Below are 26,846 nucleotides of genomic sequence, written 5' to 3'. Positions count from 1 at the left end.
GAGCCTGCCATCACGTGTGGATAATTTTTGTAGTTTAGTAGAGATAGGGTTTTTCCATGTTGGCCAGGCTGGTCTTGAACTCCTGACCTCAGGTAATCTTCCCACCTTGGCCTCGCAAAGTGCCTGGATTACAACCATGAGCCACTGCACCTGGCTGAATGTCTAGTAATTTTTTATTGTATATTGGACATTGTCAGTGGTCTATTGTTAAGAGACTAGATTTAGTCATCTTAAAGAGTGATGGATTTTATTCTGACAGGCAGATAATTTACTGGTGGTTCAACTTGATCCTGTAAAGTCTTGGTTTTCAGCTTTGCTAGGATGGGTATAGAGTAGCTTTTACTCGAGGCCTAGAATAGCTCTGCCCTTAAAGAGGATCTTTAGGGTCTCAACTGAATGACTGGGGTGTACAGTGAGATTTCCTTGCTAAGACTAGTTGGAATTTTATCTTCTAGTACCATATGACCTCTGGAATCTCCGTTCATCTCACAGTCCCTTAGAAAGAATTCTCTTTTCCAGGCCTCATAGCATTTTACTTTGCACATGCATAGCTTAGTATTTAGTCAGCAACTCATGGATATCCCTTTGCATATTTCTGAGATTTCTTGTTTGTGTGATGATCCTCCTCTGTGGTATCCTACTCTGCAAATTACAGCTGTGTCAGCAGTCCTGAATTTTATTTTTTATTATTTTGTTTTTATTTATTTTATTTTTGAGACGAAGTCTATATTGCCCAGGCTGGAGTGCAGTGGCGTGATCTTAGCTCACCGCAACCTCCGCCTCCCAGGTTCAAGTGATTCTCCTTCCTCAGCCTCCCAAGTAGCTGGGATTACAGGCACGTGCCACCACGCCCAGCTAAATTTGTATTTTTAGTAGAGATGGGGGTTTCACCATGATGCTCAGGCTGGTCTCGAACTCCTAACCTCAGGTGATCCACCTGCGTCAGCCTCCCAAAGTGCTGAGATTCCAGATGTGAGCCACCACTCCTGGCCAGCATCCTGAATTTCAATCTTTTTCTGTATACTGCTGCATTTCTTTATGCTGCAGTTTGGAAAGTCCCTACCTGCCCCCAGTGTTCAGGTGAACGTGGTGCACCCTTTGCATGTTTTCCGTCTGGCTAGGATCACAGCCCTGCATAGTCTATTATTGTCTAGTCCCTGAAAATAGTTGCTTTATATATTTTACTTAACTTCATAGTATTTTACTTATTCTAAAATAGGAAGTCACAGTGGAATTAATTGGAAACATTTGCTCCAGATTCTTTGCAGGTGTTTTTGGCCTCATTTTTCCCCCTCGTTTCTCTCTGCCCTCCAATCCACTTTGCCTTCTAAATGAAGGTGATTTAACTTGTAAGGTCATTTTAAGAAGAAGCTATGTGTGTTTCTGGCAAAAGTTTCTATACCTCTCCTTGCAGAAGTTGACTGATACCTGCTTCTAGAATTTTTGCTGCATTCTGGCCACAGGCATTTCTTTTAATTAACAGGCGCTTAAGTGGAGAGCTAGAGTCTCTTGATCATAATAAATGGAGTGTTGCTTCAGATGGCAGGAATAAGCATAATTGGATGAAAACCCTACACACAGAGAGCCAGGACACTGGCTGATTCAGGGAACCAACTGAAGGCTGACCCTCATGGGAAGGTGACTAGATTTAGCTTTGGTTCATTGGTTCTGAAATATTGCCACAGCTGCCTTAACTCTTCTCCACTTCAGGGGGACTGCTTACATTTAGCAAATCACTTCTTTGTAACAATGCAATTAGGTGCTCTTTGGGAGGTTTTGTGTGCATTGGAGTGAGGTGTGGTGGCTCACGCCTGTAATACCAGCACTTTGGGAGGCTGAGGCAGGTGGATCACCTGAGGTCAGGAGTTCGAGACCAGTCTGGCTAACATGATGAAACCCTGTCTGTACTAAAAATACAAAACTTAGCAGAGTGTGGTGGTACATGCCTGTAATCCCAGCTACTCGGGAGGCTGAGGCAGGAGAATCACTTGAACTTGGGAGGGGGAGGTTGCAGTGAGCTGAGATCATGCCACTGCACTCTAGTGTGGGCAACAGAGCGAGACTTTGTCAAAAAAAAAAAAAAATCAACTTTCTGATACTTCTTCACCCTGAGAGTCTCATTTAGGAGAACTGGAGTGGAACCCAGGAATCTTTACTTTTATCAGGTGTCTAGGAGATTCTGATGTAGGTAATCCATGGACCTCCCTTTAAGAAACATGATATAGTGGCTTTTTACAACAGTGTTCATTCTAAAACTGGACATATTGTCATATCTAGTACTGTATTTTCCCTTCAGAAAAGCATATAGGCAGAATAGTGACTATTAACCCATGATACAGATAGTAAAACTGAGACCTGAAGAAGTTACAACCTTCCCAGGGTCTGAAAGCATCTTGGTGTTAGAGCTGGACAGAGCCCAGCTGTCCAAGATGGCTATATTCTCCTCTTTGGACTCGTTGACCTTAGTTAATGATGTCATAGTCTAAGATGAGAAAGCACCGCCATTCCTCATTCTTTTCATTTTGCTCTAATCTCCTTCTTGGCTGGGCACGGTGGCTCACACCTGTAATCCCAGCACTTTAAAAGGCCGAAGCGGGCAGATCACCTGAGGTCAGGAGTTCCAGCCAGCCTGGCCAATATGGGGAAACCTCATCTCTAGTCAAAATACAAAAATTAGCTGGGCGTGGTGGTGCGCATCTGTAATCCCAGCTACTTGGGAGGCCAAGGCACGAGAATTGCTTGAACCTGGAGGTGGGGGTTGCAGTGAGCCAAGATCGCGCCACTGCACTCCAGCCTGGGCGACAGAGCAAGACCCTGTCTCAAAGAAATAATAAAAATAAAAATAATCGCCTCCCTGTTGTAGAAGTGCTGTTCCACGTGGCAGTTTGTTAAGGACGAGTTATTGGGGAGAATCGGATGGCATACAGGGTACATTGAAATACTCCAAATTATAAACTGTATATGCTAATGTGAGGTGTTATCCCTTGAGCTTGGGATCAGAGAGAAGTTTGGGATTTTTGCATAGGTCGTGACGTTATCCAGTGGTGTTTTTGTAGATTAATCTGGCACCAGATAATAGAATAATTTGGAAGAGTGAGAAACCAAAGGCCCAGGGACTAACTATGACATGAATGCAGTATTCCCAAAGGCAGGGAGGGCCCGAGATGATGAAAATGGAAAGGAAGGCATGTTTGAGAGACATTTAGAAGAAGGAACCGTGCAGAAGATCAGATGAGTGCTTATATGGAGGAAGAAAAAACAGTACAGGGCAATACCGAGGTTTCAGACTTCAGTGGCTGTGAGGCCATACCAGAGTAGGATGGAAACTCAGTATTTGGGAGGGATAGATGGGCGTGGAAGGGAATACAGTTAATTGGAGAAACATGAATTCAACAAGCACTGACTGATAGACTGTGCATGTGTTGAGTTTAGGTTGACAGTGAGGTACCTGAGTTGAGATGGCTCTAGGAAGTTGGGAGTATGAACCAGTGGCTCAGGGGCGGGATGGAGGCTGGAGTTACAGAAACAGCATTGGGAGAGCTCTGAACAGGAGAGGAAGATGTCACGCACGAATACATGAGATAGGAAATTGCTGCAGGCCGGCCAGGGGCTTATGTCCAGTCCAGAGGCAAGAGAAACGTGCAGCCAGAGGGTCAGATGACGCTGGGAGCGAAGAGAACAAGGGCCTCAAAAGCTGGCCCTCTGGGACTTGGTGAAGCAACGTGGGCCCCAGTTTGCTTGTATGTGCCCATCCGCATGGTTTTTTGTGAAAGGGTTTCGCTCTGTCACCCAAGTTGGAGTGCAGTGGCACGATCACAGTTCATTGCAGCCTTGAACTTCCAGGCTCACGCGATCCTCTTGCCTCAGTCTCCTGAATAGCTGGGATACAGCTCATGTTAACATGACCGACTAATTCTTTTTCAGTTTTTGTAGAGACAGGGTCTTGCTACGTTGCCCAGGTTGGTCTTGAGCTCCTGGACTCAAGCAGTTCTTCCACCTGGGCCTCTCAAAGTGCTGGATTACAGGCATGAGGCACTGTGCCCGTATCTAGTTTTTGATAGTTACTCAGCTGATTGATTTCTAACAGGACAGATCTGATGGGTTAATTGCACCGGGATAGGGAGTGAGAACTGAATGTTCCCAGCAACATATTCCTCCCCAGACATGCTGGGTCGAGGTTAACTGATCATCTCATTATAAACTGAAAGGACTTCAGGACGGGGTAGTGTGAGACTCTGGCTCTGCAGGAGGCTGAGGCCCCAGGAGACATGAAGTTGATTTAGGTGCATTCTGTGTTTATATGAGAGGGAGTGGGCTCTGCAGAGGATGGGTTAAGGGAACTAGTTGAAGGCTGGGGTGGCCAAAGTAAGCAACTCAGATATGTGAGGGTGTGTGGTGCGTTCACATCTGATTTATTTACGATTGCCAAGGCACAGCAGGGGGCACTGCTAAGAGAATTTGCACTGAGGCTTGGGTGTGACTGCCCTCCATCAAATCGCTGGGCCTCTGCGTCTCAGATTCCTGATTTAGGAGTCATTGGTGACAATGCCTACTTTCCTCCTCATCTCCTCTGATGCCCTGCTGTCTCCTTTCATTATCCCCTCATTGGTCCTGAAACCATGTGGATGTGATCCTTTACAGCAAGTGTGTCCAATCTTTTGGCTTCCCTGGGCCACACATAAAATACAGGAACAAATACTAACGATAGCTGATGAGCTAAAAAAAAAAAATCACAAAACCTCATAATGTTTTAAGAAAGTTTATGAATTTTTATTGTGTTACATTCAAAGCCGTCCTGGGCCACCTGCTGCCCGTGGGCCGTGGGTTGAACAAGCTTGCTTTAGAGGGAGGGCTGGCAAAGTACAGCCTGAGGGCCAAGTCAGCTGCACCTGTTCATTTATGAACTGTGGAATCCCCTGCAGCTGCTTTTGCAACACAGCAGCAGAAATGAGTAGCTGTGATGGTTGTGATTGAACACAGAAATAGAAAACCAAGTATCACATGTTCTTACTTATAAGTGGAAGCTAAACACCAGGGCCAAGTGCGGAGGCTCACGCCTGTAATCCTCACACTTTGGGAGGCTGAGGTGGGTGGATCGCCGGAGGTCAGGAGTTCGAGACCAGCCTGACCAATATGGTGAAACCTCATCTCTATTAAAGATACAAAAATTAGCTAGGTGTGATGGTGCACGCCTGTAGTCCCAGCTACTCGGGAGGCTGAGGCAGGTTCCTTGAACCCAGGAGGTGGAAATTGCAGTGAGCCGAGATTGTGCACTGCACTCCAGCCTGGATGACAGCAAGACTGTCTCAAAAAAATAAAATAAGGGCCAGGCACAGTGGTTCACGCCTGTAATCCCAGCATTTTGGGAGGCCGAGGCAGGTGGATCACCTGAGGTCAGGAGTTCGAGACCAGCCTGGCCAACATGGTAAAATCCCATCTCTACTAAAAATATAAAAATTAGTCAGGCCTGGTGGCTCGCACTTGTAGTCTCAGCTACTCCAGAGGCTGAGACAGGAGAATCGCTTGAACCTGGGAGGTGGAGATTGCAGTGAGCCAAGATTGTGCCACTGCCCTCCAGCCTGGGTGACAGAGTGAGACTGTGTCTCTAAATAAATAAATAAATATGTGGCTCTAAATAAATAAATAAATAAAATAAAATAAACATTGGGTACACATGGTCATAAGGATGGGAACAGTAGTCACTGGGGACTACTAGAGAGGGGAGAGAACAGGGGGCAAGGGCAGCAAAACTACCTACTGGGTACTGTGCTGACTACCTGGGTGACAGGTTCAGTCCTACTCCTAACCTTAGCATCACACAATATACCTTTGTAACAAACCCGCACACGTACCCCCTGATTCTAAGATAAAAGTTAAAAAAGAAAAAAAAAAACTGGGAAATACTATCTGACCCTTTGCAGAAACAGTTTGCTGATCCCTGATTTAAATACTTATTCAGTCGATCCTTTGTTTAAAAAGTTTTTTAAATTTTTGTGGCTGCGTAGTAGGTGTATATGGGGCACATTAAATGTTTTGATATAGTCACGTATAACGATCACATCATGGAAAATGGGGTATTCCCTCAAGCGTTTATCCTCTATGTTACAAATAATCCAATTATATTCTTTTAGTTATTTTATTTTATTTTTGAGACAGAGTCTTGCTCTGTCACAGGATGGAGTGCAGTGGCATGATCTTGGCTCACTGCAACGTCTGCTTCCCGGGTTCAAGCAATTCTTCTGCCTCAAACTCCCCAGTAGCTGGGACTACAGGCGCCTGCCACCACGCCCGGCTAGTTTTTCTATTTTTTGGTAGAGATGGGTTTTCACCATGTTGGCCAGGCTGGTCTCAAACTCCTGACCTCGGGTGATCTACACGCCTCGGCCTCCCAAAGAGCTGGGATTATAGGAGTGAACCACCGCACCTGGCCATCTTTCAGTCATTTAAAAATGTACAACTAGGGCCAGGGGCAGTGGCTCACACCTGTAATCCCAACACTTTGGGAGGCCGAGGCGTGTGGATCACCTGAGGTCAGGAGTTCGAGACCAGCCTGGCCAACATGGTGAAACCCCATCTCTACCCAAAATACAAAAACTAGCCGGGCATGGTGGTGGGTGCCCGTAGTTCCAGCTACTTGAGAAGCTGAGGCAGGAGAATTGCTTGAACCTAGGAGGCGAAGGTTGCAGTGAGCCAAGATCGCGCCGCTGCACTCCAGCCTGGGCAACAAGAGTGAAACTCCATCCAAAAAAAAAAAAACCAAGAAAACCAGAAAACCAGAGGTACAATTAAATTATTTTGACTATAGTCACCCTGTTATGCTGTCGTATAGCAGGACTTATTCATTCTTTCTACTTTTTTTGTACGAATGATCTTTTGTCTATGTGCCCTGGTGACCTCTCTGTTCAGGGTACCTTCGTCTCCCCGCTCCAGATCATTTTCCACAGGCCCCCAGAGTATCCCACGCAGGTTGTGAGTCTGATTGTGTTTCTGGCTGAAACCCCTTCAAGGGCTCCTCTACCTTCCATTTGCAGTTCTGTTTTCATAGAGTGCTTCCCAGAGTCCTTCTGATCTGGCCCTAACTGCCGTCTGCAGCCTGGTCCCTCCCTGCTTATCTCTTGCCATCCTTCCGGTTTCCTTCCTGTCCCCCCTGCCTTTGCGCCAGCTCTGCCTGGGGCACCGCCTCTGCGGTGTTTTGCCAGACTCTCTTCCTTACCCTTTGGGGTGCATCTTGTGCATTTCTTCCCCACAAGGCTCTCCAGACTTGCCCCATATCTTGGTTTCATTTTGTACTTTCCTCGTCCTGGCCCTTCCCTTCCCTGGGCTGTCATCACCTGTGTGCCTGTGTACCGGGGGCCTGAAGGTGGGGGCAAGGGCACAGATGGGTCATGTCTCTGCAGTGTCCTGTACACTAGCACAGTGCCCGGCACAGAGTAGGTTCTCAGGAGGTATTTGATGAATGAATCAATGAAAGAATAATTGGAGAGGTTGTGAAGATCAGAGGAGATCATTGTTAGGAAAACGCTTCCTTACGGCATCGAAGTTGAAAGTGCTTTACACATGTGAGTTATTTTTGGGGAGCAGATCCATGCCCGTTGCAATTGACCGCTTTTTTGGCCCTACAAACATGAAGCACAGATAATTAAACACGCAGGAGACAAAAAGAAAAGCTTAATCTGAAATTTGCCTGTGTCATTTGATTTTTCATGCCTTATTTACTTTCATAATTATGTTTGCCTAAGAAGCTAGAGACTCATACTGCCATTTACTACAAGCATTTTTCGAGCGACCTTTGAGTAAAGGGTGAGGTGGAGAGCAGGGAAGTTGCCTGTGTTGCTTTAGAAAAAATATTAACATCTAGACCTCCCTCTGGAGGTTCTGACTGATGGTGTCCATGGTACGGCCTAGGTACTTTTAAAAAAGTTCCCGTAAGGACTCTGACGTTCAGCCAAGGTCAGTGACCATTGATTGAAGGCTACCTATAACTCGCTTTTGTTTAGTTACTGGGTTATGTTTCATTCTCCATAATTCAAGTATCTTCCTGTTTCTTTTTGAAGCCCAAGTCTTCTCCTATTGCAAAAGACTAAGAAAAGAGGGAAAGAAGAATTGTCCTGCAGTTGATTAAGTAACAGTCCGAAGATGAAAAGGGAGAAAGGGTCTGGTTGTATTGATTGCAAACTTCAGACCACACCAGAATCACCTAACAAAATGCAGGTGCCGGGACCCCACCCCAGACTCTGTGCCTCAGAAGCTCTTGGGGTGAGGCCCAGGCACCTGCATTTTGAACTAGATCTCCAGGGGACTTAGATGCTCCCTCTAGTCAGAGAACCACAGTCAGTCCAGAAAGGCAGGTAGCAGCACAGCAGGAGTCTGGAAAGCTGTAACATCTGGGAGAAGAGTACCGAAACCTTGGAGTGGAGAGGGCTCCAGAACCTACTCATCTCCTGGGCTCCTTAAAAAATTTGTTGTATTCGATGAGAACACTTGGACACAGGGTAGGGAACATCACACACTGGGGCCTGTCGTGGGGTGGGGGGAGTGGGGAGGGATAGCATTAGGAGCTACACCTAATGTAAATGACGAGTTAATGGGTACAGCACACCAACATGGCACATGTATACATATGTAACAAACCTGCACGTTGTGCACATGTACCCTAGAACTTAAAGTATAATAAAAAAAATTTGTTGTATTGAGATGAAATTCACATAGCATAAAATTAACAATTTTAAATGGAACACTTCAGTGACATTTAGTACCTTCATAATTTTCTGCAACCAATACTGCTATCTAAATTCCACACATTTTCATCACCCCCCCAAGGAAACCCCATGCCTATTAAGCCATCACTCTCCATCTCCCCATTCTTCGCTTACTCTCCACCGCCTGGCAAACACTAATCCACTTTGTTTTTGTGGATTTACCCATTCTGGACATTTCATATTACTGGAATCCTATAATATGTGACCTTTTGGGTCTGATTTCTTTCATTTAGCATTGTGTTTTCAAGGTTGATCCATATTGTAGCATGTATCAAACTTCATTGCTTTTCTTTTTTTTTTTTTTTTTTTGAGATGGAGTCTCGCTCTGTCCCCCAGGATGGAGTGCAGTGGCGCAATCTCGGCTCACTGCAAGCTCACGCCATTCTCCTGCCTCAGCCTCCCCCGTAGCGGGGACTACAGATGCCCGCCACCACACCTGGCTAATTTTTCGTTTTCATATTTTTAGTAGAGACAGGGTTTCACCGTGTTAGCCAGGATGGGTTCGATCTCCTGACCTTGTGATCCGCCCGCCTTGGCCTCCCAAAGTGCTGAAATTACAGGCGTGAGCCACCCCGCCCCCCTGCCTTTTTTTTTTTTTTTTTTTTGAGGCAGGTCTCTCTGTCACCCAGGCTGGAGTGCAGCATTGCAATGGCAGCTCACTGCAGCCTTAAGGGCCCCAGGCTCAACTGATCCACCGGCCTTAGCCTCCTGAGTAGCTGGGACTACAGGCATGTGCTGCCACGCCTGCCTATTTTATTTATTTATTTTTTTTTGTAGTGACAGCATCTCACTATGTTGCCCAGGCTGGTCTTGAACTCCTGGGCCCAAGTGATCCTTCCACATCAGCCTCCCAAAGTGCTGGGATTACAGGCGTGAGCCACTGTGCCTGGCCGAGAACGTCATTGCTTTTTTTGGATGAAGAATATTCCACTGTGTTTGGGCGTGCCATACTGTGTTCCATTCATCCATTGCTGGACATTTGGGCTGGTTCTGCCTTTTGGCTACTGTGAATAGTGCTGCTAGTAAGATGAGTGACCAAGGATTTGTTTGAGCACCGTTTTCAGTTCTTTTGGGTCTATATCCTGGTGTCCCTATAATCAGGAGCACCTGATTAGGTTGAACCTGGTGGGCAGCCAGGCTGGTGGCTCATCTGGCCCACAGCTTGCTGGAGCCACATGTGTGAAGCTCAGCTCTGAATGGGAGGAGCTGGAAGGACACTTGGGCAGTCGGCACGGGCAGAGGGAGCGGCCTGGTCAGGGCAGTGTGGTTGTTTGGGTAGAGCTTCAGGCTAGCTTTCATTGTAAGTGCCTTCACTCTGCAAGGCTACAGAGGAAATAGCCAGAATAATCTTATTAAAAATATGTTTCTGCTGGGTGCAGTGACAGGTGCCTGTAGTCCCAGCTACTAGGGATGCTGTGAGGCTGGAGGATTGCTTAAAGCAAGGAGTTTGAGGCTAGCCTGGACCATTTAGTAAGACCCCATCTCAAAAAAAAAAAAACAAAAAAAAAACAACAAACCCCAACAACAAATGTTTCTTTTTCTTTTTCTTTTTCTTTTTTTTGAGACTGAGTCTCGCTCTGTCACCCAGGCTGGAGTGCAGTGGTGTGATCTTGGCTTGCTGCACCTTCTACCTCCTAGGTTCAAGTGATTCTCCTGTCTCAGCCTCCTGAGTAGCTGGGACTACAGGCTCACGCCACCACACCCCGCTAATTTTTGTATTTATGGTTGAGATGGGGTTTCACCATGTTGGTCAGGCTGGTCTCGAACTCCTGACCTCAGGTGATCCACATGCCTCGGCCTCCCAAAGTGTTGGGATTATAGGCGTGAGCCACTGTGCCTGGCCCAACCACAAATGTTTCTGACGATGTCATTCCGTGTCCAAAATCCTTTGCTATCTTCCCATCAAGTCCAGGCCTTTTTCCTCTTTTTCCCTTTAGCTTGGACTTCGTTCACCGTTCTCCTCCTGGCCCCTCCCTCCTTCCCTCCCTCCTTAGCTTGGGCTCAGGCCAGTCCTCCACCACCCAAACCACCCACCAGCTCCTGCAGCTGGTTCTCAGCACACGTCACACTGTTTGTCTTTTTGAGCCTTTTCTCGTGTTCTCCCTCTGCCAGGAACCACCTTCCTCCTTTTGCTTTCACCAGGCCAAGTCCTTCCTTTTCAGGTTTTGGCCATTGTCATTAGTCCATGATGATGATGGCGTTGCCCTGAGGCTGTGTCTGCTGTGTCTTGCTTTATTTTTTTGAGACAGAGTTTCACTCTTGCTGACCAGGCTGGAGTGCAGTGGCATAATCTTGGCTCACTGCAACCTTTGCCTTCCGGTTTCAAGTTATTCTCCCTCCTCAGCCTCCTGAGTAGCTGGGATTATAGGCATGTGCCACCACGCCTGGCTAATTTTTGTGATTTTAGTAGAGATGGGATTTCACCATGTTGACAGGGCTGGTCTTGAACTTCTGACCTCGTGATCCACTCACCTCGGCCTCCGAAAGTGCTGGGATTACAGGTGTGAGCCACTGCGCCCGGCCCTGTGTCTTGGTTTTGAATCTCTCTGTGGCCCCTTGACTGAGCGCCGTGCTGCGTGGTTGCTTAGCTGCCCATGTCGCTGATGGGCTGTAGGCTCCTTGGGCAGTGGCGTCATCATTCTTGTTTGCCTCTGCATCCCCAGCGCCTGGCACAGAGCCTGACACGGAGGGGCCCTGAAACTGATTTGCTACAGGAAAGAGTGAGTGTTCAGCCTGGAGCTTTATTCATCATTGAATCCTCGAGGCTTAGAACAGTGCCTGGGACATGGAGATGCTGAGGCCCCCTTAATCTCTCCCCTAACAACTCCCGCCGCAATAAACGCTTCCTAAATGTGTGAACGGTTGGGTGGAAAGGAGACTCAATCACGTACTGTCTGCAGTGTGATGACAGATAATTGTATATTCATCATTTTATATCAAGGGTCTTTGTGTTCCTGATAATTTTTGTAGGGGTGCGTGTGTGCATGTGTGTGTGTGTGTGTGTGTGTGTGTTTACAAACTGAATTCTAAGTAAAGCACCCAAGGCTTTGGGTACTTATTGTCTGAAGAATCAGGTGGTCGGGTGAACTAAAGCAGGGTGAACACACTTTTTCTGTAAAAGGTCAGATAGTAAATATTTTAGGCTTTGTAGCCACACACAGCATCTGCTGCTGTCTCTCCCCTCCCCATCCTCTTCTCCCTTCCCCTTCCTTTCCCTTCTCCAAGACCCTTTAAAAATGTAAAACACATCCTTAGCTCGTGGGCTGTACAAAACTGGCTGGATTTGGCCCACAATCCATAGTTTACAAACCTCTGATCTAGAAGATCCATTAAGGCCAGTTCTTTTAAAACTTTGTTTTGTGTTCTCATGTTGGATGTATTTATTTATATGTTGCCCTTTTTCTTGATGATGAAAATTATGTATGCTCATTTTATAAAGAAATGTAGAGAATAAAAACTCCAACAGGTAAGGAAAATACACTTTTAATCTCATCTCATGGACGCCACCCTTATCCATGTGTTGGAACATTGGCTGTCTGAGTATTTTCTGAGCTTTTTTTTCTGTACGGGACATGTCGTGACAATGACTCACAGTCATGGAGTGTGTGTCCTGTCTCAGGCACGGTGCCAGGCTCTCTATAGGCATTGTCTTGTGAGGTAGGTGCTAATGATAATTTTATTTATTATTATTATTTTATTTTTATTTATTTTTTGAGTCGGAGTCTTGCTCTGTTGCCCAGGCTGGAGTGCAGTGGTGTGATCTCGGCTCACTGCAACCTCCACCTCCCAGGTTCAAGCGATTCCCTTGCCTTAGACTCCCGAGTAGCTGGGACTACAGACCTGCGCCACCACACCTGGCTAATATTTTTTGGTATTTTTAGTAGAGACGTGGGTTCACCCTGTTGGCCAAGCTGGTCTTGATCTCCTGACTTCGTGATCCGCTTGCCTTGGCCTTCCAAAGTGTTGGGATTACAGGCGTGAGCCACCATGGCTGAGGTCACTCAGGTGGTGATGTGATCACAGACTCACGTGTTGAGATGGAGCCTCTGTGAGCAGGTCCCTAGGTGGCTGGAGCGGGCAGAGCCTCTGCATATAGAACAGGAAGGTGCTTTGTTGTTGCAGCAGAGCCCAGCCCATCCTGACTGGCACCCTGCACCGCAGAGACACTTGAGCAGCCTCCAAATTAATTGTGAGAGGGTGGCCATGAGGGTTAAATAAAATAACACGCAGAGAGTATCAGACACACAGTCAGGCATGCAGTAGGTATTTGATACGTGTCAGTTCCCTTATATCAGGAACTGTGGAAGCTCCTGGGGATAACTTTTTGGTCCTGTTTCTTATTTGCACAAGTTGTGGGTTCAGGCTTAACAAAACGTTGTGTGTGTGGGCCGGGCACGGTGGCTCACGCCTGTAATCCTAGCACTTTGCGAGGCAGAGGTTGGCGGATCGTCTGAGGTCAGGAGTTCGAGACTAGCCTGGCCAATACGGTGAAACCTCTTCTCTACCAAAAAATACAAAAATTAGTTGTAATCCCAGCTACTTGGGAGGCTGAGAAAGGAGAATCGCTTAAACCTGGGAGGTGGAGGTTGCAGTTGAGCTGAGTTCACACCACTGCATTCCAGCCTGGGGGAAGGAGCGAGACTCTGTTTAAAACAAACAAACAAACAAACAAACAAAACATGACATGTGTATATGTGTTGGGGGGTTAGGTCGGTGTGCTTATGTGCTGTGATCTTCGTGGGGTCCACATTGCAGTGTCTGCTGGTCCTGCCTCTCGTGGACTGTTTGGGTATTCCATGAGCCGATGGCCCCTTTCCTTCCAATATTCCCAAGGGAATGGGCCAGAAAGCTCTGCCCATAACATCGTGCCCTAGGACCACAGTCCATCTTTGCCCCATTGCCTGTGGCCTCTTTTTCTCAGAGAGATTGTTGAAAGCAACAGTTAAGGATCAAATGACTTGACCAGGTGAAGTAGAAACCTCCAGGTGTCTTACGCTTTAACTTCAAATAATGAGACTTATTTTACCCACTGAGCAAGTTGCTAGTGGAGTGCCAACCTGGCAGGATACCTAGGTTATTGCCAGGGCCAGAATTGTAAACCTTCCACATTCGTATGTTGAAGCCCCAACTCTCAGTATGATGGGAACCTTTGGGAGGTAATTAGGTTTAGATGATGTCGTGAGGATGGGGCCCTCATATGGGATTAGTGTCCTTTTAAGAAGAGACACCAGAGAGCTCGCTGTCTTTCTTACTTCACCCTGTGAGGACACGGCAAGAAGACGGCCCTCTGGGAGCCGAGGAGCAAGGCCATGTCAGAACCTGATGATGCTGGCACCCTGATCTCGGACTTCTAGCCTCCAGAACTATGAGAAATAAATGTTGCGGAAGCCCTGTAGTCTGTGGCTTGCTTGCTTTTTCTCTTTCTTTCTTTTCTTTCTTTCTTTCTTTCTTTCTTTCTTTCTTTCTTTCTTTCTTTCTTTCTTTCTTTCTTTCTTTCTTTTTTTCCTTCTTTCTTTCTTTCTTCCTTTCTTTCCTTTCTTTCTTTCTCTCTCTCTCTCTTTCTTTCTTCCTTTCTTTCTTTACACAGTCTTGCTCTGTCGCCCAGGCTGGAGGGCAGTGGTGCGATCTTGGCTTACTGCAACCTCTGCCTCCTGGGTTTAAGTGATTCTCCTGCCTCAGCCTCCATAGTAGCTGGGATTACAGGCATGCACCACCATGCCCAGCTAATTTCTGTATTTTTAGTAGAGACGGGGTTTCACCATGTTGGCCAGGCTGGTCTCAAACTCCTGACCTCGGGTGATCCACCCGCTTCAGCCTCCCAAAGTGCTGAGATTATAGGCATGAGCCACCGTACCTGGCCTGTGGCATTTTATAGTGGCAGCCAAGGTAAGAGAGTTGTGAAATCTATAGTGATTATCCCGGATCTTGGTGACTCAGGCCTTCTTTGTCCCTTGCATTGGTTGATGCTGCCCTCTGTGGCCACCTCACCCCTGGCTCAGTCATTGTCCTGCCCAGGACTCACAACAGCACACCTCTGTGAAGTTCCCTTCCCCTTTTCTCATGTAGACTCAGATTGCTTTCTCTGCCCTCTCCGTGTTCAGCCCGGGGTCTTGTCTGCCTGCTCTCTGAAACAGGCACCAGTCTCATCCTAGCCTGGGGTCTTGTCTGCCTCCTCTCTAAAACAGGTGCTAGTCTCATCCCTTTTCTGTCTACTGCCCACCAGTGCCTTTGTGAGGGTTCTAGTTCTCCATCAGTCTCCACCCAGGACTCTGCCCCCAACATCCAATCAGACCGGTCCAAGGTCATTTGTCATATGAGTACTTTGCAGCATTAGCACACACAACTCAATTTCTGTTGTAATGATTCCCGGCCCGTCAAGCTGGGGTGATCTGTACATTTCCAGATATTTGCAGGTAAAGTTTCTCTTCCACTGTAAGTTTTGAAAAATGGAAATATCAAACTAACATTTCAAATTTCAACAACCTGTGTATATTTGCTTAGGTGTCTGGGCTTGGGAAGCCCCAGCAGCAGGTTCCACCTTTGGTTTGTGTGGTCAGCTGAATAAGGGCCATCAGAGATACTCAGGTCCTAATCTCTGGAGTCTGTGGATGTTACCTTATATGAAAGAAGGACCTTTACAGATGCGATTAAGTTAAGGATGTGGAGATGGGGAGGTAATGCTGGATTGTCTCCAGGGTGGGCCCTAAATACAATCTCAAGCCTCCTTATAAGAGGGAGGCAGAGGGGGATTTGAACAGGAGAGGAGGAGGCAACATGACCATAGAGGCTGAATTGGAGGGAGGAAGCCCTGACAGGAGGCAAGGAACAGATTCTTCCCTAGAGCCTCCAGAGGGAGCATGGCCCTGCTGACACATTGATTTCAGTACAGTGATACTGATTTTGCATTTCTGGCCTTCAGAATTATGAGAGAATGAATTTCTGTTGTTTGAAGCCATTGCATTTGTGATAACTTGTTATAGCAGCTGCAGGGAACTCACACAGTTTGCATCTTTAGTTCTCCCCATAGTGTGCCTTTCCTCTTGCCTTGCAGGGGAGCTGGCATTGCTCTCTGCTCTGTGCCATTGAAGGAAATTTGGTAGTGAGAGCCCTTTCTCTGACCCTGTCTGACCAGCTCAGTGCTCATGGCTAATACCTTTTGGTCATCTAAAAGCTCAAAATAGAACAGTAACATTTGCACATGTTAAGTAAGAGTTTGATCCCTGACTTCTAAATGGTTTAAGAGGCACCAGAGTTACCAGTAGCGCAGGCTCTGGCATCCCACCGACTGAGATCAGATGCATGCTCTGCCACTTGCTGACTGTAGGACTTCGAACTAGTCACTCAGCCCCTGCCCCTTTAAGCCCCAATACCTACTTCATAGGAATTGTTATAAGGATTAAATGAGCTGCCATGTTCCCTTGATTGTAAGAAGCATTTTTTTTCATATTTTACTATCTTTACAATTGGGATGCATCTTACAGGCAATGGCGGGTCATTGTTTAATTGACAGCATATTTTTCTTTCTTAGTGATACCTCAAGTAATGGTATGTCTTACAATAGAATGCATTTTGTAATTGATGACTGTGGCAATCTGTGCAGATATGCTTAGCTCAAGGCCTGGAATATCCTAAGAGCATCTTAGTAATGATGCTGTTGTTATTTCAGTTGTGGCAAACAAGCAGAGGGTTTTAGGCATGTTTTCACCATTCTTTCCTAAGCCTGATAGTCTATTCCCTGCTTCCCACCCACTATGCTCAGAAAACTTATTATTTTTTCCCATACCTGTTCTGTCTGTGATACTTTCCATTGCCCTGGTACAGCCTCTCTGCAGGACTTGGTGCAGGGGACCTGTGGGCTCTGAGTAGTATGTCTGGTCTTGTCTTTCTTTTGCCTCCTCACATTGCAGAAATCACCCAGGTATACACATAACCTTGCTTGCTGGACTTGTATGGCTTGAACTCATTCCATGGCCTCTGAGTCTGAGACTTTACATCTTGACTTGGCTGGAAACTCTTCTTCCTTCCTATTTCTCTGTTTCTGTTTTCTCTGGTTGCAAATGGGATACTCATACAACTTTTTCTTTCTTTTTTTTTATTATTATTATACTTTAAGTTTTAGGGTACATGTGCACAATGTGCAGGTTAGTTACATATGTATACATGTGCCATGCTGGTGTGCTGCACCCATTAACTCGTCATTTAGCATTAGGTATATCTCCTAATGCTATCCCTCCCCCCTCCCCCCACCCCACAACAGTCCCCAGAGTGTGATGTTCCCCTTCCTGTGTCCATGTGTATACAACTTTTTCTTAAGGCTGATATCTATCAGTCAGGTTCTAGTTCCAGATAGAAAGCATATCAGTTATTTGAACAGAGAGAATTTAACACAACAAATGGCTAACTAACTGGAATAAAATTGTTAGCTAGGGTAAAAAGAGAACTCTAAGGTATCACAAAGGTAGCAACTATAGAAAGCAGCTACCACTGCTCGGGATGAGGAAATAGAGAAAGAAGTTGGAATTATTAAAACTTAGAAACTTAGAGAAGGGCCCTTCAGAGCTGAAACTCAAATGTCCATGAGGAGGGGCCAGCAGGCTGGTGATGGTGTCTTAGGCTAGGGCACAATGAAGACAGTTCTGCAAATATTGGAAAAAGTTCAAACTGGATGCAGCAGATACTATAGGAATGAATTACGGCTGCCACAGTGAAGAAGCATTTCTGGGGTAAAGCTCACAACAATAGTCAGCAGACAGAAAGGAACGTGTCCCTTTTCAAGCACTAAAGTTTTCTTCTAATATCCTTGACTTGCAGAGCCTAACAAAGAACAACTAGCAAAGCAAAAATGTAGTTTCAAAGCCTCAGCCTTAATATCTTGGAGCTATAGGAAGGTATGTTTGGGCTGAGAGTCAATGTAGGATTTTAAAAAACTTCAGTTGGCCTCTGACCTTGTGATATGATATATGAAAATGAGTGTGTTCCTCAGTCAGGGTTCTGGGTTGCAAGCAACAGAGACTGACCCTGGCTGATGAAACAGGAATGGAGCTTATTAAGGATACCAAGTAGCTCCCAGAATGTTGATGGGAGAGGAGGGAAGGAGAACCACACTCAAGGCTCAGCTTCCAAGAGTAACACCCAAAACCAAGTCGCTGAACTGTTCTGCTGAGCAGACTGCTACTGGCCATGCAGCACCAGAGGCCTATGTGCCTTGTTCCCATATCCTTGTCGGGAACATAAGTTGGATGCAATTGCTGCCACTTTTGTGTCAGCCAGCATCAGAGAGAGAGAGAGGAGGAGGAGGAGGATGAGGAGGAGGCAGAGAGAGAGGGGAGAAGAGAGATGAGAGGAGAGGGATTGAGAGAGAGAGAGAGAAGGCAGAGAGAGAGGGGAGAAAGGAGAGATGAGAGGAGAGGGAGAAGGAGAAGAAGAGGGGAATGGGGGAGGGGAGAAATGGATCCCTCAGCTGATTTTGCTGCCTTCTGAGATAGTCTGACTATCCCGGTGCATCTGGTAGGCAGAACTCGGTCATCTGGCAGCTCCTGTTATGGGAAGAGGTCTTTGTCCTTGTCTCATAAAGTGGGCAATTCCCTAGACACAGAAAGGGGTTCAGATACAGGATACCGGCCAGGTGTGGTGGTGGCTCAGGCCTGTAATCCCAGCACTTTGGGAGGCTGAGGTGGGTGGATGAGCTGAGCTCAGGAGTTCGAGACCAGCCAGGGTAACATGGCGAAACCCCCATCTCTACTAAAAATACAAAACTTAGCCAGGTGTGGTGGCGCGTGCCTGTAATCCCAGCTACTCGGGAGACTGAGGCAGGAGAATCGCTTGAACTTGGGAGGCAGAGGTTGCAGTGAGCTGAGATCGCACCACTGCACTCCAGCCTGGGCAACAAGAGTGAAACTTCATCTCAAAAAAACAAACAAACAAAAAAACAGATACAGGATAGCTAAAATAAAAGAAAACCATCTGCAGCCCTAGGCAGTCAGTGTTCACCACAGCAGGAAATGGACCTGTTGCCTTCCGTGGCTCCTCAGAGGAGTCTGCAATCCCCAGTGCACTAAAAACTGCTAGGGATTACTCCTTGGAGAGCACTCAAAACACGTGTATGAAATTATCTCCAAATATAAGGCTCAATAAACCCTTGGTGATGAGAACTGTTTGATGGTTTAGGCTCCAAGGTGTGCAGCAGGTAGGCTAATGATTAGCAGCCTGGAGCGGATCTTTCCCTGCAGAGTGCTAAGCCCTATGAGATTCCTGGACTGAAAGGGCCTCTTTGAGCCCAGTCTGGTTTTTAATTAATTTTCCAGCAGGCTTGCAGAGTGGAAGGATCAAATATTATTGCATTCCAGACAAAGAGATGGCTGGGGAGAGATGTAAATTTTTGAGGATGGCAGTGAGAGAATGAGAGACAGTTAAAAAGTAAAGAATGTAATTTGGATAATTGAAATCTCCAGAAAGAGATATTAGTGTTGCGCTAGGAACCTATGATCTTTTTTCTAACGGGATGTATTTTGAGATGCTAGGCCTTGAGAAATGAGCCACCATCCTCCTTTTGGTGAGGATGGGATGTAGGGCCGTGCTTACGTCACATCAGACCTGTTGCCCTCTTGGAATCATCACCATCTTCATTGTCATCGTCCTTGTCCTGGTCATTGTTCTGCTCAGTGAGACTCTGAAACCACTCTTGGTATGTGCTTCACTCTCACCACATTAAAGTCAGAGAGTTCTTCCTAATAGCTGCTTTAAAATTGCTGCCTTTCTCATCTGACCCCACCTCTGTGGCTGCGGAAAACGCCGCCATCTCCCTTCCACCTCTCAGAACGGGACTCCTCTGCTGTCTGGCTTTCCTTGCAACTTTACTGAGTCATTTCAGCGGGGACCCCCAGAGTTCAGTTCTGTGATTCAGTGATTGGATGAGTTTCATACTGCAAGGTGTACCCCAAAGCAGCTGCATGTGTCAAAACCACATAGAGATGTGAGTCTGGACTTGAGACTTTTTCAGACTTTTGCAGTGTTCCCTTCTAGGCTGCCAGTCTTCTTCCCTTTTCCTCATTCCCACTTACTGCCCCATTCCTATCACGTCTTTGTTTTCTGTGATTCATTTAGTGCCAACTTTTGGTGCCAGACATTTTGCTTGTGTCAGGGATCAAAAGCCCTGTAATTATATAAACAAGCAATTACAGAGTGGTAATTACTGTCTATAATGGAGGTGAGCATAGGCTGGGAGCACTGAATAACAGTGACTCAGTCTACTTGGGAGAGTCATAAAAGGCTTCCTAAAATTGGTGCATGACTTTGGACTTAAAGATTAATTTGGAATTTGTCAGGCAGATGGGCTTGACAGGAGATGGTGGGGCATGCATTTCAGACAAAGGAACAGTACAGTGGTCCTTGTGACATAGCACGGCTCTACATCCTATCCTCGTTAAAAGGAGGATGGTGGTCCTTATCCATGGGGGATACTTTCCAAGACCTCCAGTGGATGCCTCAAATCCTGGATAGTATCGAACCTGAGGGCCGTCAATCAAAACACATTTCTGTTCATGTCTTCCACTCGTAAATTTAACGCCTTTTTCATCTTAGCAGTTACATACCCCGTGGTGCAACAGCAAAACTGGCATGAATTTATTTTCCTTCTTCACAATTTCATGGATAACAGATTTGTTTAGATCTTTGCAACCTCAGCATATGATTTTCTTCTGAAGTCAAGAACTTTTACCTTTTCATCTAAAGGAAGCATTTTATGGCTTCTCTTTGACATATTCAAATTCCCAGCATCACTACTCTTGTGCTTGGGGCCGTTACTGAGTAAATTATGAGTTACTTCCACAAAAGCACCATGAAGTCGTGACAGTTGATCTGATAACCAAGACGGTTACTAAGTGACTAATGGATGGCTAGCGTAGACAATGCGGGTACTCTGGACAAAGGAATAATTCACATTCTGCGCAGGACAGAGTGAGATTTCATCATGCTACTCAGAACAGTGTGCAATTTAAAACCTATGAATTATTTTTGGAATTTTCCATTTAATATTTTTGGACCACACTTGACACTTGACTGGGTAGTTTGGGAATGTGGAAAGCAAAACCATGGATAAGAGGGGGCTACTCTGGCTGGGCGTGGTGGCTCACGCCTGTAATCCCAGCACTTTGGGAGGCCGAGGCAGGAGGATCACTTGAGGTCAGGAGTTCAAGACCAGCCTGGCCAACATGGCGAAACCCCATCTCCATTAAAAATATAAAATTAGCCGGGCGTGGTGGTGGCCACCTATAATCCCAGCTTCTCTGGAGGCTGAGGCAGGAGAATCGCTTGAACCTGGGAGGCGGAGGTTGCAGTGAGCTGAGATCATGCCACTGCATTCCAGCCTGGGCGACAGAGCGAGACTCCATCTCAAAAAAAGAGGGAGCTACTCTGTACGTTAAAGAGACCTTGCAGCAGGCCGGCTCGTTCATTGTTGCTGTGGCACAAAGTGTATGCATTCGTTAACTATTGCTGCATGACAACCCCAAAATCTCAGCGGTATACAACTAGAAGGATTGATTTTCTTGGTGTCTGTGAATTGGCTGGACCAACTCTATTGATAATAGAGCTTTCTCATGCATCTGTGGATCAGCTGGGGGTCAGCTGCTCTTGACTACATTAAGCTGCAAGACTGCAGATGGTCGTGGGGAGGGTGGCTCTGCCCCAAGTGTCTGCCATCTGCCTTGGACCAGGGCATGTTTTTCTCATGACAAGGGCAGAGGCACAAAAGGAAGAGCAGTAACAAGGCTCCCTAAGGCCTAGGCACAGAACCGACCCATGGATACTTCCATCCACATACCACTGGCTAAGCAAGTCACATGGTAGAAGCCAGCATCAAAGGGTGGGTATACTGGGTTGAATAGTGTCTCCCAAAATATATGTTTCTTGGAACCTCGGAACATGACTTTACTTGGAAAAAGGGTCTTTGCAGATGTAATTAGTTAAGATGAGGTCGTACTAGAGTAGGGTGGGCCATAAATCCAATATGACTCATGTCCTTCTAAAAAGAGAAGAGACAAGGGAAGCAAAGACACAAAGGAGATGGCCATGCAAAGATGGAGGCCAAGATGGGAGTAACGCTGCCACGAGCCAAGGAGTGCTGAGGGTTGCTGAGAACCACCAACAGCTGGAAGATGCAAGAAGGATTCTTCCTTAAAGCCTTTGGAGAGAAAATGGCCCTGCTGATACCTTGATTCAGACGTTTGGCCTCCAGAACTCTTAGAGGATAAATTTATGTCATTGAAGCCACCCAGTTTGTGGTGATTAGTTCCGGCAGCCCTAGAAAACCAATAAAGTAGGAAAACATACTATTCCCATGACAAGGCCATGGGAAGAACGTGGACGCACATAGAGGTAAAACCTGAGGCCAAACGTTCAAGCGGCCACGGAGGGTGCAGCTGCGGTAAGAGACGGGGCCGAGACACCAGGCAGGGCTGTATCAGGAGGGGCGTGACATGTTATACAAAGAATTTAGATTTTATCCTGTAGGCAGTGGTGGGACTGAGGGATTTGGGGCAAGGGAGTGACATCTTCAGATTTGCATTTTAGAAAGGTGGCTCTGGGGTGAAGGAGGGCAGTGTGGAGGGTGCTGGACTAGACTCCAGCTACTACAATAGGCTAGGCGGGAAGGCAGAAGGGTGGGGATTAGGGTGGCATTTAAGGAAGACAATTAGGGGTAGATCTAAAAAAAAGATGTTCAGAAGAAACAGCTAGACTTGGTAACCAATTGGATGTGGGAGATTATTTTTGGCTTGAGGAGTATATTAGTCAGGATTCATTGGGCGGGGGGAGGATTTATTAAAGAAATTGGTTTGCACAGTTATGGAGGCTGAGATCTGTTGTCTGTGAGCTGGAGAACCAGGAAAGCCAGTGGTGTAATTCATCCAAGTCGGAAGGCTGGAAAATCTTGGGGAATTCATGGTAAAACATTCAGTCTAAATTTGATAGCCCAGGAACCAGGAGTGCCACTTTCTGAGGGCAGGAAAGATGGATGTCTCAACTCAAGCCGAGAGAGAGTGAATTCATGGTTCTTCCACCTTTTTGTTCTATTCAGGCCCTCCATGGACTGGATGATACTCACCCATGCTGGGAGGGCCATCTGCCTTACTCAGTCTACTGATTCAAATGCTAATCTCTTTTGGAACCACCCTCACAGACACACCTGGAAATAGTATTTTGTCAGCTATCTGGGCATCCCTTAGTCCAGTCAAGTTGACATGTGAAATTAACCATCACAGGGAGTTAGGTGGATTTGATCCCTCTCCTTGGAGCTGGTTATGGCATTGGGGAAAATGATGAGTTCATTTCTTATGGGTCAGGCCTGATGTAGTGCTTAGTACACCTGCTCACAATCTCTTGGCCAATTCATAGTCACTTGCACATCTATTTGGATGAAAGGCAAATCACATGGCCAAGCCCAAGGTCAAGGGGTGGGGAAACACACTGTGCTCATGATAAGGCCATGACAAGGGCATGGTTGCAGGGAGGGCTAAAGAACTGGGGCCAGTCATTCAACCTGCCATGGAGAGCTTGAAAGTGTTGAGAGATGAGGTCAAGACAGGAAGGCAGGGCTGTATCATATATAATCTAACTCTCTGTCCAGGTTGAAGAAGAGACATAGATGCTAGTGGGAATGGCTGTTGGCTGCCTAACTGGCTACTGCAAGCTTTTTAGGGCAGGGTCTTACCTAACTCACCTCTGTATCCAGGTGGAAACTAGCACCATGCTTTGTCGGGTAATATGTTCAATTAGCCCAAATAACCCCCTCCTTCACCTCCAACATATAATATATTCAAAGCATGGAGAAGCTAAAAGCATCAAGAACCCAGTCCGTATAGGGCATTTGATTTGAAAGTCTCATGGAGTGTTTGTTCTTTCTAAAGAGATGATTTAGAGTTAAATGATGCACAGAGATCAAGCGGGTCAGGCCATATCCTCAGCTCCTATCTAGAGAGAACCTTCTACTTAAAGTAGGCTGGATCCTGTTTGTGGAGTACCAGAGCTCAGATTTCTAATTAAAAGCGCTTTTTCACTTTATTATGAAATATGATACACGTAAAAAACTTTATACAACAAACGTAATGAATAATTCTAAAGCAAATATCTTTGTAACCGCCACCATGCCAAGAAACAAAAGTCCCCCTAACTCCCCATGTATTCCCCTCTTGATCAATCCCTGTTGCTACTTGCTGCTAAGTCACCACTATTCTGACTTTTATAATTACCTCTTTTTTATAGTTTCAACCCTTATATGTACATCCCTAAACAACATGATTTAGTATTTCAATTGTATATAAATGAAAACATTCTATATATATTAGTTGTGTATTTTGCTTCTTTCATTAAATATAGGAATAAAATTTATCCACATCATTGTCTATAGCTCTTGTTAATTCCTTTTGACTGTTATACAATGCTCCACCATATGAATATATTTATTTATTCATCCTATTGTTGGTGGACATTGAATTGCTTGTGGGTTTTGGCTACTGTATATGAAGCAAATGAAATACTGCAGGATTTTTATGAAGAAAAGTAGAAACCAGGCCAGGCGTGGCAGTTCATGACTGTAACGGGTGAAACTTGGGTGAAACTCGTGAGGCTAAATATGTAGTTCATATGGAAAAATACAGGACCAAGAATAGGTGCTATCATGAGAATAGCACGGGAAACACCCGCCCCCATGATTCAATTACCTCCCACTAGGTCCCTCCCAGGACATGTGGGAATTGTGGGAGCTACAATTCAAGATGAGATTTGGGTGGGGGACACAGCCAAACCATATTGGGGGTGCTGACTCGGAAGGGGCAGTAGGCACCAGGGAATTTCAAGGGTAGGAAAAAATCTTAAATTTTGGAAGGAGAGTAAGAGAGGGAGGAGGAAGAGAAAGGATTTTGACCTTGCAAACAGCAGAACATTTTGGTAATTACAACAGTGTGACATTGTGCCATAGCTGTACAGAATCAACGGGGAAGACTGGCAAGTCTCATGAATATATAGAAACTTGGTGTATGGAACATGGCAGAGTTGCCATTATAATTCAGTGGGAAAAGGATTGATTAGTCAATAAATGTTGATCCAGTGGAATCGCCTCCAAAATTGTAATCTACCATATACCCTTTGCAAAAATGCTCCCAGGCGAAGTTAGCAATGCTTCAACAATATTTAGGACAGTGGTTCTCAGCCCTGGCTGCACATTTTAATCATCTGTGGACACTTAAAACAAATACAGATTGTGGGTTTCAACTCCTACAGATTCTAACTAAAATTGTACGTGGTAGAGCCCAGGCATCTGTTTTTTCAAATCAACTGTATTGAGGTATAATTTACATAAAACGCTCCCATTTTAACTTTCTAGTTTAGTGTGTTTTGACAAATGTGTACACCTGTGTAATCTTTACAATAATCAAATTTAAGATTTTTTCCTACCCTTGTAGGAAATTCCCTGGTGCCTGCTGCCCCTTCTGAGTCAGCACCCCCGATATGGTTTGGCTGTGTCCCCCACCCAAATCTCATCTTGAATTGTGGCTCCCACAATTCCCACATGTCCTGGGAGGGACCTAGTGGGAGGTAATTGAATCATGGGGGCGGGTGTTTCCTGTGCTGTTCTCATGATAGTGAATAAGTCTCACAAGATCTGATGGTTTTATAAGGGGGAGTTTCCCTGTGCAAGCTCTCTCTTGTCTGCCAGCATGTAAGATGTGCCTTTCGCTTTCTGCCATGACTGTGAGGCCTCCCCAGCCATGTGGAACTGTGAGTCCATTAAACCTCTTTTTTCTTTATAAATTACCCAGTCTCGGGTGTGTCTTTATTAGCAGCATGAGAACAGACTAATACATCCCCCATGTGCCAATCTGAACCCAGGTAACCACTGATCTGCTTTCTAACGCTGTAACTTATTTTTTAGCATTAGTATTTTTTAAAAGCTCTCCAGGTGATTTTAATGAGTAGCCAACTAGTGATAAAGCAATTTATAACATTAAGAAAAACAAACTTCTCTGTGACAAAAGACGTTATAGAGTTAAATTCAAGCCAAGGCTTGTGAGAAGATATTTGCAATACACACAACTGATGAAATATTGGTGTCCAGAATATATAAAGGTCTTCCACAAATCAATGAAAAGGGGCAAACCGTGCACAGTAAAAAAATTGAACAAACTATTTGATTAGGAATTTATGAGGAAGGAGCCCTAAAGAACCAATAAACACATGAAAAGATGCCCAGTTTCACTGGTAATAAAGGGAATGCAATTTAAATTATTTTGTTTTTCTTTTTTTGTTCGTTTTTTGAGATGAAGTTTCACTCTTGTCACCCTGGCTGGAGTGCAATGGCGTGATCTCGGCTCACTGCCACCTCCACCTCCTGGGTTCAAGCAATTCTCCTGCCTCAGTCTCCCAAGTAAAGCTGAGATTACAAGTGCCTGCCACCAAGCTCGAGTAATTTTAGTATTTTTAGTAGAGATGGGGTTTCACTATGTTGGCCAGGCTGGTCTGGAACTCCTGAACTCAGGTGATCCATCTGCCTCAGCCTCCCAAAGTGCTGGGATTACAGGTGTGAGCCGCCACTCCTGGCCTCTGCGATTTAAATTCTCACCTTTTGTATTTGACCAAAAAAAATGAGAAAAGGTTTGACAATATTCAGTATTGACAAAAGAGATTTTTGATAAATAGGAACTCTCATGCACTGTTGATGGGAGTGCAAATTGATACAACCATCTTGGTGAGTAATTTGTTAATATCTGGTAAAACTGAAGATATAACATATCCCATGACAAAGCAGTTTCAGTTTTAGATACATGTTCTTCAGGCATTCTTGCGAATGTACACAGGGAACCCTGCATGAGAATGTTCATTGCAGCATTTCTTGTAATGGTGAAAAATTGGAAATGAATACATTATCAGTCAGTAGAAGAATGAATAATTAAATTGTGGTAAATTCATTAAGATAGCATGGCTAAGTAGCCATTTAAAAAAGTAAGTTGCATGGCCGGGCCCAGTGGCTCACACCTGTAATCCCAGCACTTTGGGAGGCCAAGGCGGGGGGATTATCTGAGATCAGGAGTTCAA

At 45.7% G+C, this 26,846-nt stretch overlaps 1 protein-coding gene across 35 annotated transcripts in view, besides 2 other annotated features; it reads left to right on the top strand.

Moving 5' to 3' along the window:
• SLC39A11 (solute carrier family 39 member 11) overlaps positions 1–26,846 on the top strand; it is a 446,740-nt gene that overhangs the window by 74,266 nt on the left and 345,628 nt on the right. The window lies entirely within an intron of this gene.
• Positions 25,297–25,346: an enhancer, noted in NCBI's record as "active region_12684". NCBI's record gives its function as "activates an Ori minimal core promoter by ATAC-STARR-seq in GM12878 lymphoblastoid cells {active_cell/tissue: GM12878}" and the evidence as "EXISTENCE:reporter gene assay evidence [ECO:0000049][PMID:35858748]".
• Positions 25,467–25,556: an enhancer, noted in NCBI's record as "active region_12683". NCBI's record gives its function as "activates an Ori minimal core promoter by ATAC-STARR-seq in GM12878 lymphoblastoid cells {active_cell/tissue: GM12878}" and the evidence as "EXISTENCE:reporter gene assay evidence [ECO:0000049][PMID:35858748]".

Source organism: Homo sapiens, chromosome 17, assembly GCF_000001405.40.
Source record: "Homo sapiens chromosome 17, GRCh38.p14 Primary Assembly".
NCBI classification, from domain to species: Eukaryota; Metazoa; Chordata; class Mammalia; order Primates; family Hominidae; genus Homo; species Homo sapiens.
Note: the sequence above shows the minus strand (reverse complement) of the source record. Positions and strands in the feature narration are given on the sequence as shown.